Source organism: Homo sapiens, chromosome 4, assembly GCF_000001405.40.
Source record: "Homo sapiens chromosome 4, GRCh38.p14 Primary Assembly".
In the NCBI taxonomy this organism is placed as follows: Eukaryota; Metazoa; Chordata; class Mammalia; order Primates; family Hominidae; genus Homo; species Homo sapiens.
The window spans coordinates 9,911,378-9,923,740 of NC_000004.12; the positions used below are offsets into that span (position 1 = coordinate 9,911,378).

Below are 12,363 nucleotides of genomic sequence, written 5' to 3' on the forward strand. Positions count from 1 at the left end.
AAGGTGACTGCCTTCAGCTTTACCTCTGCTCACACTGAAGCTTATTTGATTGGACAGTTTGAGTTCACTGTAAAATAAGAAAGCACTCAGGAAACTTAAGAGTGCATCCTGCCCCGGAGCCCCGCCAGCCCCCACGGTGTGTGCTTTGTGTTGACCTTGTTCACCACACAACTCTGTTCTCGCAGGTTGCCCCTAGCCTCCCCGTGCAGCGTGGCAGGAGCAGCAGTTCTGGAGGCATAGAGTGGGGATTCTAGCCCCAGCACTGTCTCTCATGACCTGCGTGACCGCAGGCAAGCGATTTTGCATCTCGGAATCTCTGTTCTCCAAAGAAAGGTAATAATACTTCGTCTTTCAGGGTTCTTGTAAAAATTTTAATGATGATAAAAGAAATCATCCAGGACAGCACCTGTTATAATTGGCATATAACAAATTGTAGGTATCATTCTAGAAGGTTCTGTCTCTCCATGGAGATGTGATTGCTTCTTGGTTAAGAAGAGCATCTGGAACCAACCCAAATGTCCAACAATGATAGACTGGATGAAGAAAATGTGGCACATATACACCATGGAATACTATGCAGCCATAAAAAATAATGAGTTCATGTCCTTTGTAGGGACATGGATGAAGCTGGAAACCATCATTCTCAGCAAACTATCGCAAGGACAAAAAACCAAACACCGCATATTCTCACTCATAGGTGGGAATTGAACAATAAGAACACATGGACACAGGAAGGGGAATATCACACACCAGTGACTGTTCTGGGGTGGGGGGAGCGGGGAGGGAGAGCATTAGGAGATATACCTAATGTTAAATGACAAGTTAATGGGTGCAGCACACCAACATGGCACATGTATACATATGTAACAAACCTGCACGTTGTGCACATGTACCCTAAAACTTAAAGTATAATAATAATAAAAAAAAAAGAAAAGAAGAGCATCTGACAGTGGCACATATGCCATGCTAGGAATGCACCTCTGGGTCTCTTTTCAGCCTCCTTCTTGTGGGATGGGGCTTTGAAGAACTGTGCAGCTGGCAGGTGTGGGGGTAAGGGCAGCAGGAAAGAATTTGGGTCTTCTCAAGTCCCTGCCCTTAATGCCCTGAAGCTCTCATTCTTAACTCACGTCATAGTGTTTTAGAGACAAAGTGTAACATACATAATCATTTTTGCCCCCTCCACAGTTGGGCATGCCTAAGGATGCCCAACATGTCTAAGAAAGCAGCATGTCTAAGGATCAGTCAAGGGTCCATAAGAGTAAACATCCCATTTACTTTTGCCTAGAACAAGGTGATACTGACAAAGAGTATGGGTTTAATTTATGCTTTCTGGATGTGGTGAGCAGAACAACAGCCCCCCGCTCTCAAAATGTTCACATGCTAATCCTGGGAACCCCAGAACATCTTACTTTACATGGCCAAAGGGACTTTGCAGATATGTTAAGTTCAGAATCTTGACATGGGGAAGTTATCCTGGATTATCTGGGTGAGCTGTAAATGTAATCACCAGGGTCCTTAAAGAGGGAGTCAGGAGGATCAGATTCAGAGAGAAGACGTAAGGATGGAAGCAGAGGTCAGAGAGGAAGAAATATTTGAAAATGCCATGCTGCTGACTTGCAGATGCAGAAAGGGGCCACAAGCCGAGAGATGCAGGTGCCATCTAGAAGTTGGGAATGTCAAGGAAGTGGATGATCCCTCTGGAGTCTCCAGAAGGAATGTGGCCTTGCCAACACCTTGATTTTAGGACTTCTGGCCTCCAGAATTGTAAGATAATAAATTGGTGTGGTTTTAAGCCACCATGTGGGTGGGGCTCCTTCAACAAAATAATAGCTAAGCTATTGCAGTAATTTGCTACAGAAGCAATAGAAAACTAATATATACTGGATAAAGATATAATTAATATATTTTATGCATTTCCTGTGTGTTTGTGTGTGTGTGTGTGTGTGTGTGTGTGAGAGAGAGAGAGAGAGAGAGAGAGACAGAGAGAGAGAGAAACAGATAGAGAGAGATAAAGAGAGAAACAGAGAGAGTTGTAAACACAGAGGTGGCCGCCACAGACAAATGGTGATGTATAGGATCTATCTTGAAGTACAGAAGACAGAGAAGACCTTGCCCATTTATTAAACACTGTGTTCCAGGAACTGTGCCGATGCCTCACCTACTGTTTCCAGGGACCTCCTTTCCCTTCTATTTCCTGTTTCCATTTGGGGAGCATCCACTAGGGAACATACCTCCCTCTCAACCCAAGGGACAGGGAGGTAGGGAGTGCCCTCTTGCATCCCCTGGGCTCTTTCTGTATCTGCCTCCTGCAGGAAGCTGGAGATGTGTCTGCTGCCTCCACCCAAGGAGGGGCTTGCCCTGTAGAGGGGTCTGGGGTTGCTCCTTCTGCCTGTGGCTGGGTCTAGCATCTTAAAGCTAGAGGTGCTGAACTAACTGCCACTTATGAAGCCATGCTGTCTAATCCAGCTCCACTCAAAATAGAGCTAACATTTTCATCCCCATCTGGTTCTTGTGCCTCTCTCTGTCTCCCCCTCTCTAACCTTTTCTGAATTTCAGAGAAGAAGGGGGCTTATCTATTGTAAATCCCCAAACCTATCCCCTACATGACGTAACTGCATTCCCAGCACAGCCCAGTGAGGGAGCTATCACTGCTCCATTTAACAGATGTGAAACTGAGGCTCAGCCAGGTAAGGGTGACCCAGCTATGAGTGGCAGAGCTGAGATCGAGCCCTGATCATCCCAAACATTTCTACTGTCCTCTGCTACCTCTGGGTGAGAAGGAATCTGTTTTCCTTCCAGAGATGCTAGGGGAGGGTGCTAAGTCCTATGGAGCAGGGCAAGTGGAATTACCCGAGAGGTGAGAGGAAATGGGAGCACCAGGGATGAATCACTACCGGCAGCTGCCAAGCAAAGCAAGACCCTCTCCACCAAGGGCAGGCTGTGTGCTTCACGGCAATGTATGGAAGCCCACTCTCTCTCAGCAGAGCTGCTTCATCCACAGCCCCAAGCAAATGTCAGCTCCCATTCTCATCAGACTTTGCTTCAGCTTGGCAGTGGAGGCAGAGGAATGAGCTGACTCTCCCACATCTCTCACTGGGACCAGTTGCACCCCGACTACAGCTGCGCACCTTACGCTTCACAAAACAGGACCTGTGGGTCACTCACTGGCCTTGAAGGGTTAGCTGGGCTTGAAGCTCTGGTCCCTGGTGGTTGAATCTCCAAGGCAGGGCAATTGACCATCTAACGTCCCCTCTCTGTGAGCTCCTATTCTTGGGAGGGACGGGAGTCTGTGGGCTGGACAGAAGGGATTTGACCCCAGCAATTGCTATGGTGGTGAGAACGTGAATGCAGATTTCAACCACCCCGGCCTTGCTTTATATCCTTAGAGCACATGTGAGCATGAAACTGGACAGCATATCTAGATGCCCAACAGCCGGTCCATGCTCAGTAAAAGGCTGCTTCCTTCTCTGACCTCCACTGTCTTTCTTTATAAAAATCCAGAAGCATACAAAGTAAGGACTCAAATTTTAAGAGTGGCCAGAAAATGCTTGCTTTTAAAAGCTTTTCTAAGAGTGTTGGATCACCCAGTCTTGCTTCTCATCTTACGGATAAAAATCTAACCTCACACTGACCTAGCCATTAGCCCAATGAATGATACCACCTTTCTGGCCTGGTCTTCTTTGAACTCTGACATGAGTGATTGAGGCTCAGAGGGGTGAAGTGTCTCACCCAGGACTACACAGCTGGGAAGTCAGAGGATGTGGGCTGGAACCATAGCCTCCCTGGTGGTCTCAGTGTGGGGCTCCTTCAACAAAATAATAGCTAAGATTATGGAGCACCACCTATGTGAATGACCCCATGCTGAACTTATTTATTTGAGACGGAGTTTCGCTCTTGTTGCCCAGGCTGGAGTGCAATGGTGCGATCTCAGCTCATTGCAACCTCTGCCTCCTGGGTTCAAGTGATTCTCCTGCCTCAGCCTCCTGAGTATCTGGGATTACAGGCATGTGCCACCACGTCCAGCTAATTTTCTATTTTTAGTAGAGACTTGTTTCTCCATGTTGGTCAGGCTGATCTTGAACTCCCGACCTCAAGTGATCTGCCCACCCCAGGCTCCCAAAGTGCTGGGATTACAGGTGTGAGCCACCATGCCCAGCTGCTGAACTTTAAATGCATCCTTTCATCTATCTTCACCACCACTCTACAGCTGGGGAAACTGAGGCACGGAGGAGTCATGACAACTTGTCCAAGATCCCATAACTCAAAAGTTCAATGTTGCAAGCTGCATGCAGGCAGATGACCCCAAGCCTGGCACTCTTGACCACAGTTCAGGGTGGCCATATGGAGGGTCTCTTCTCAGCTTTCTCCCTGTTCATCAGGACATAGCAAACTGCTGCAGTGAGATGGTCTCCACTTTTATGATTACAGAGCATTTTAGATTCTTCCAACTTGATCTAGGAAGTGATTTCAGGAGAATCTTTTCAAAACCAAAGTTATTAATAACTGCTTCTGAAATTATAATTTGAGACTTTGTACAAAACTTGATTTGGGCTCCAGAACTCCTAATGATGGTTCAACAAATCAGATGGACCTTCATGTGGTTCCAGGCCAAAAGAGGGGGAAAGTACCACAGTTTTCTGTAAACACATCTAAAGTTTTCATGTCTCCTTCCCCTTGTTCCTCCCAGTCACCTCCCTTCCCTCCCTTCTACTCAACTGTTTAGAGAAAGCGTAAGAAATCTGGGACTCTCTTAGGCACTAAGGTGACAGCAGACAACACAGGTCCTCGTCTACCCTAGAAGACCTCTTAGTCTAGCAAGGAAGGGAGGAGTACACAACGATTTCCCAACTAAGTGGTTAGAGGAACACACCAGGAACCCTGTAATGCATGGGTATCCCACCAAGTGCAAAGACCCAGGCAGCAGTCCACCGCCGGTGAGCACCCAGAACCAATGTCACCAGGCCCATATGGCTCATTCACAGCTGGCACTCTGATCCTCTTTGCTCTTCTTTTACATCTATTTCTAACACACTTGGGTGTCTTGTTTCCCAACCAAGACTGCATATCAGGAAGCAGCAGATTTTGAAACTGCATGGCATTGAGAGAGGAGAAAACAATGCTAGAAACAGTCGTGCTGATGACAGCAAGGTTGGGAGGAGATTCATGCAAGCTGAGCAGCTGCCACCTGTGAGATATTTTACATAATTCCACAGATTCCTCACAGCAGTTGTGCAAACTGAGTATTATCATCCCCATTTTTCAGGATGGGAGACTGAAGCCCAGGGAAGTGACTATGATTGGCTTCTGTGTTTAAGAAAGAAGGAATCCCAAGGAAGGAAGGGTCATCCCAAGTAGATAAGAGAACCACCATGACCCTGGGCATTCTGGAAGATAAGGGAAGGTTCAAGAAAATGAAGGCTTCCCCACACTGGGCTTGACAATTGGTATTGATCCAATTTTCAGCCCAAGAACTCCCTATCTCCTGCCCTCACCTCCTTTTCTCCCCCAGACACTCAGGTGCCCACCATGTGGCATGGGCTGCTCTGGTGCTGGAGGCACAGGGTTGATAAGATGCAGCCTCCATCTCCCAGGATGGAGACCCACTAATAGCTCTCTCCAGGTGAGGGGAGCACAGTGGAGGGGCAGGAACTGCTGTGGCCACCCCAGCAATGGGGACGGGGATGGGCCTAAAGCCAGGAGCCTCTTTCACACTGGCAACAGACTGACACTCACACTGAAGCCTGGTTTTCATGCTGAGGACAAACTGCTCGAAAGGAAGGCAGCTGCCTAAAATAAGTCACTTTAAGCGACAGGTCTAATTTTAGAGAATGGAATTTGAAAGCCTATTGTGTAAGGCAGAGGGAAAAAAAAATCCAACACCAAAAAGGAATTTAGAAATAAATAAATAAATGTTGGTTATCCCAACTTTTGAATAATTTCTTTTTTCCTTTTTTTTTTTTTTTTTTTTTTTTTGTGATGGAGTCTTGCTCTGTGTCCCAGGCTGGGGTGTAGTGGTGCGATCTTGGCTCACTGTAGCCTCCGCCTCCCAGGTTCCAGTGATTCTCCTGCCTCAGCCTCCAGAGTAGCTGGGACTACAGGTGCCTGCCACCATGCCTGGCTAATTTTTATATTTAGTAGAGATGGGGTTTCACCATGTTGGCCAGGATGGTCTCAAACTCCTGACCTCAGGTGATCCGCCTGCCTCAGCCTCCCAAAGTGCTGGGATTACAGGCACAAGACACTGCACCCAGCAAAATTTTGAGTGACTTCTAAAGTACGTGAAAAACATTCATCAGCTCCTTAGCATAAATATACTGAGCCATCTGTGATGTTTGCTTGATACAGAGGTTCTCAGCCAGGGGCAATTTTGCTCCCATGGGATGTTTGGCAGTGTCTGGAGCCATTTTTGGTTGTCACAGCTGGTGGGGCAGATGGTGCTACTGGTACCTAATGGGAAGAGGCCAGGGAGGCTGCTGAATAGCCTAGGCACACAGCACAGCCCCCATGACAATGAATTTTCCAGCTCAAAATGTACACAGATATGAGGCTGAGAAATGCAAGTTTGGTACAAAGTGTCTGGGTGGGCTGTCCAGGGAGTGCACCCAACACCAGCAGGTGTGACTTTGTCTGTGCAGGCACCACCCCTGGGACCTTGGGCAATGCCTGACCCTCTGTGAGTCACACGTCCTTCATCTAGAAAATGGGGACAATACCACTTACCCTGTGGGGCTGTTTGGGGCTTGAATAAAATGACAAACACAGAGATGCCTGGCAGTATTTACGGATGTCTCCAGTGACATGTCATGTCCCCCAAATAATGTCTGGGATAATGAAGAAGACAAAGCAAGTCTTCCAAGGCAGCTGAAGTTTTGGATCCCAGGGGTGGTGCCTGCACAGAAAAAGTCACACCTGCTAGTGCTGGTAGCTCTCTTTGTCCCGTGAATTTGGATGACAAGGCAGCAGGTACAGGGGAGAGCTGGACCACAGTGTGGCTGTGATGCTGGCATTTGCCACTAAACAGCATGGGTCTCTCTGTATGTAACACGGAAGAAGACTTGTCCCCATGGCTGCCTAGGGATGGCCTGGGGACACAGCCTGAGTGACATGCATGGGGGTGCTCTGAGGGGGACCTTGGGGCCAGATAGCTAGGGCTCAAATCCTTTTACTATTCCTCACTGTTTGACCTTGGAAAAGTTTCTTTATGTCTTTAGGCCTAACAGTGCGGCCTAACTCACAGGGCAGCCATGGGGACAGCTCCTGGCCCACTCTGAGTGCTACATGCATGTGCACTTGATGAGGTTTGCAGCCCAGTAGGTGGAGGCCAAGTGACGGGGAGCAGCTGGCCTGGGTTTCTCACTGCAGGTTTGTGTCCCACTGAGATGGGAAGCCAGGCCTCTGACTCTTGGTCCAGAGCTCTGCTCCAGGTCAGGTAAAGCACGCTCAGCTGGAAATATTATCCCGACTTAAAGATTGAAGATCATCAACATGGGAGGGCAGAACACTCTGAGGATGGGGCCTCATGACTGCTGGCTTTGGGAGCAGCTGAGATTTTTTTTCAACAGGTGCTTAGTCAGTGCGGCTTGCAGGTACACCATAGAGGAATTTATGAAGTTATACGGGGGATGCAAATGGAAAAATGATGTCCCTGTGGAGAATTGAATTCTGTTTAGAACTGATGGTTCTCAGTGTAAATGCCTCATTCACTACAGGTTCCATATTCGGTCTTTAAGGCTTCAGGTGTTAGCTTGAAGAAACAATTCACTTCCCCTCTCTACTCTCTGAGAACAAGCAGCGCCTCCTTCAGACTGTCTGGCAAAACCTCGGTCTCGTCAACAGGAAGAGACAACAGGACTCTCCCAGGATCACTCAGTTAATGTAGGTACAGCCACTGACCCAGGCGCCTGCTCAATCTGCTGACTTTAACCAGACCAAGGAGAAAGGTAAAAGCAAGAAGCAAGGTGATCTCATTTCATCCCAGTGTTTCCGAAAATAGAACCAACAGTTGTTGAAAGGAGGTGGAACAACACTGTGGTTGTAGATTTCTATGCTGCTGTTTTTCCTTCTCTGGACAGGAATGACTCCCCTTCACATCACCTTCCCTAGACACCCCCAAACACCCTCCCTGCCCGCCTTGGGGGGTGCTGGTCTCACGCTTATTTAGTATAAATGCAAGCTGTCTTACTGGGGCCCTTTGGAAGGGTGCTGGCGGGTGCCCCTTCTCCCTCTCTCTGGGTTCAGTCAGTCTCCTCCCAAGTGACATGAGTGACCTCAGAGGCAGTTTGGATGCTTTATGCAAGAATCTCCTCTACGCTCCCCTGCCAAGTGGTTGGCCAGCCTATTTGCACACTTCCATAGATGGGGAGATCACCACCCCTAGAGGCAACCCACTCCATTTGTCAGAAGCAACAGTAACAGTAAAGATCCAGACTCTGCCTCCCTAAGTCTCCAACTGGGAATTCCACCTTTGAGTGCCCTCAAGGGAGAGGAGACTGCTGTGAACATCCAAGCATCTGGGGAACCTCATGGAGAGACCTCCTCAGACTTCCCTGCCTGCAGCAGCTCAAGCCCCAGAACATTTCTTACTTAAAGCCTTGAGGTTTTTTTCAAGCCAAAGTTGTGAGTTGAAGACAGCCCAGTCAAGAGTACTTTTATGAAAATCATCTGAATGTCTCTCACTTCTGACTTCCTAATATCAATTTTTTAAAGAAATATAACTTTTAGACATGTCTAGGAATAATTAGTGATAGCATTTATTATAGGATATCTCTGTGGCTAGCAGCTGAACTGAACACTTTGCATGGATTGTGTCTTTCCATATTATGTGATCCCATTTTACAGATGAGGAAACTGAGGATCAGTCAAGTTACATGGTTACCTAACAGCATAGAGTTTGTGGCAATGACAGAACTGAGATTTGAACCTGGGCGTCTGGGGCCCAAGCCCTGAACCTCCCCACCCTCTGATCCCTCCAGTCATGCAAGGATGCCCACCGGGCCCCAGGACTCACTGCATTGAGGCCACAGAGCTGGTAGCAGGCCATGGTGACAATCACGGTGACCACCTGCCAGCGGACGTAGGGAGCTCTCAGCAGCTCCAGCACGGACACCAGGCGGATGCTCCTCTGCACGCGGCTCTCAGCCAGGACCTCCTCTACCTCTTGGGAAACGTCTGCTTTACCCAAGAACGTTTGGAAGGCTGCAAACAGAGGCACACATGGACTTTCAGCAGGGATTAGAGTGTCCATCATGTCTAATGCTGGGCCCTGCAGGGACGGGTCCCACCTCCTAGCCACACACCTTAGCTGGGGGCGGAACTTGGCAGGGGCCTTTGAAACTATGGAGTCCAAAGCCCTTGTTTAAAAATGGGAAAACAGAGGCCCAGAGAGATGCCATGATTTGCTCAACATCACCCAGCTGGCTGGGAGAAAAGCTGAGAACGTGGGTCTCTTGACTGTCCGCAACGCAAGGCAGAGCACACCCAGAGTTCAAACCCGTCTATAACATTGGGCAGTTGTGTCCCTGTTCATCTTTTGTTATCATTCCTGCCTCCAATGGCTGTTGTAATAATTGCATGATATCATATACATTCAACCATGGCTCGGAGCTTCCCACACTGGAGTTCGTTTGCTGAATATTCACTAAGCACCTCCTGTTTGCCTGGCTCATGAGTTCATCCTCATTGCAGGTGTCCGGAGACCAGTAGGATGTCACTTGGCCAGGATGCCCTGCAGTCCATGCTATTGTGAAAAGAAGGATTGAGCTTAACGACTGCAAGGCCCCTTCCATGTGATCCTCTGAAATACAAGAAAACTTGAGTGGAAATAGTCCCAAAGAGTGAATCTTACCAGGACTCAAACCCACCCTCATGATTTATGCCTTTTCCATGTTGAACACTGCAAACTTCCAGCCTCAGAGAACCCATCATTTTTTTTTTAAATGAAGACCTTAATTGTGCAAACCTCTATGAATGTGTGCTTGAAGGCGGGCTGACTGATTAGATCCCGGAAAGCACAATAATCAGATCATGGGGTGCACTTTTGGACACAGATTTCAATGCTCAGTGCTCTGATCTTTCTTCCTCCCACAGGGAAAGGTGGCTATTGTGCTGGCTCCTGCGGACAGTCCATTCCAGACACAGCAGGCAGCATCCCTAAAACATGGCTCCGCCCCTCAGGGCGTGTGAAAATGCTCTTCTTAAGCAAATGCCATTAAACTTGCTCCAGATTCTCCAAGAAGCAAGAACCCTTCCGAAGGCTTTGGAGTGTTATTTCCAGCAGGGTACTAAAAACTGCTTCAGAATATCTTTTTTTATGAACTATAATTTAATGCTCTCCCCAGCATTTATTAAGGGTAAATGAGAAAAGCAGCTGAATGAGCAATGTTTCTGTTTCATGCATTAAGTATAATATTTCTACTGTTTCCTCAAAGTTCAAAATGCAACATCTATGTGATAAAATAACTCTAGACTTCTGGGGTAGAAAACTATTTCTTTCCTTCATGACATACATATTTTCCATTATAAAATAAGGATAACTTCATAACCTATGTTTTTTTTTTCTCTTTTCACCATGGCTGCCAGGAAGCTCTCAGACAAATGCAATGTTTAGCCCTTAACAGAATTTCCTGAAACAAAAAATCTCTCTTCTTTCTCTTAAAATTTCCTATCTTCCAGCTCCATCCATGTCCCTGCAAAGGATATGATGTCATTCCTTTTTATGGATTCATAGTATTCCATGGTGTATATGTACCACATTTTCTTTATCCAGTCTATCATTGATGGGCATTTGGGTTGATTCCATGTCATTGCTACTGTGAACAGTGCTCAGCAAACTAACGCCGGAACAGAAAACCGAACACCACATGTTCTCACTTATAAGTGGCAGCTGAACAATGAGACCACATGGTCACAGGGAGGGGAACAACACACACCAGAGCCCATTGGGGGGTGGGGTGGGGGGAGGGAGAGCATTAGAAAAAATAGCTAATGCATGCAGGGCTTAATACCTAGGTGATGGGTTGATAGGTGCAGCAAACCACTATGGCGCATGTTGACCTATGTAACAAACCTGCACATCCTGCACATGTATCCTGGAACTTTAAAATTTAAAAAAAAAATTCTGATCTTTTCTTAAAGCTTCAATTTAACCTTCCTATTGTATATATGTTCATAAAGTGGGTGATACTGTTTCAGAGTGACCCCCAGCCTATGAATGAGCAAGGAGGCAGTCCAAGGGCCCAGCCATTTCTGTCCAGTGGGGGACCTCCTGCAATGCATGAGTTTCTCCTGAGTTTCTCCAGAGCTCTCCCCTGGACTTGCCAAGACTTTGCCAGGGGCACTGTGGCCTGATAGCTCCTCCTGCCCAGTTCTTCTCCCATCCTTGTCACTTTCCATGTGTTATTCTCCATTGAAACTTCTGCTCTCCTAACTCGTTCTCAGACCTGCTTCCAGGAGAACCCAAACCTGCACCAAGGAGTTACCTGCCGGCGCCTCCCACACCCTTCAGCCCCTGCCTCTTCAGTGCCCTGCAGGACCCTGGCCCAAGCGCACCAGCCTTCTATTTCCCTAACTGCCAGGTAAGTCCGCCCCCCACCCCTCCATGACTCCCTCACTATTTTCAATCACTCCTAACAACGGCCTGTTGGGATTTGGGCTTGGAGTCCTCCCTATTCCACATGCACCCTTTCTGGCTGAGGGCTCACAGATATTCTTTTGAAAATAGCAAACATAGAAGACTGAGCTGGAGTCCTGAGGGGGCACCAAGGAGGGGGCATTTCAGGCTGCCAGAGAAGGCAGGGGCACTCTGGGCAGGAGGCAGAAGGATGGAAAGTTGTCTCCTATTCCTGGCACTAGGGAAAAGCAAGAGACATTCTGTAAGGTACATGGATGTGCTTTGGTCAAGGAATAGGCCGAGGCAAACATCCAGGCCAGAATGACTCAGTGAGTTTAGGTGCACAGGTGCATACTCCACTTGTTATATAACCTGTTTGTGTAAGTTCATACTTGGCTTGGAGCCACTATTGTTTGGGAAGGTATAACTGCCCTGCTGACACTGTACGGGGGCTCTTGGGCATGGCTCCACATGACTCTTGTGCAGCTGCTGGCACCCAGAGAAAGAGAGGAGAGGGATAACCAGAGCCGTCCATTTTGCAGATGGACAGAGGGGAGCCAGGGCAGGGTTCGGCACAGCACGGCATGGCACGGCTCACGCTTGTGCCCAGAGAGAGAAAGAGTTAAGCTGCTGACCCTGAAGGCAAGGGAGAGCTGGCCGTGCAGCTGAGCGTGGGAGCAGCTGGCTCAAGCAGCTGAGACAGAACGGACAGTGTATGAGAGCTGCTGATGAGAGAGCTGCTGAGTAAAACCATA

General features: G+C 47.9%; 1 protein-coding gene across 27 annotated transcripts in view; it reads right to left on the reverse strand.

Moving 5' to 3' along the window:
* The window catches only part of SLC2A9 (solute carrier family 2 member 9), a 269,246-nt gene that overhangs the window by 140,353 nt on the left and 116,530 nt on the right, over nucleotides 1-12,363 (reverse strand). For all 27 annotated transcript variants that reach the window (XM_011513867.4, XM_011513858.2, XM_047415973.1 and 24 more), the window contains one exon: nucleotides 9,008-9,195. In XM_011513867.4, coding sequence (XP_011512169.1) covers nucleotides 9,008-9,195 — 188 coding nt within the window. The remainder of the gene's footprint in view (nucleotides 1-9,007; nucleotides 9,196-12,363) is intronic.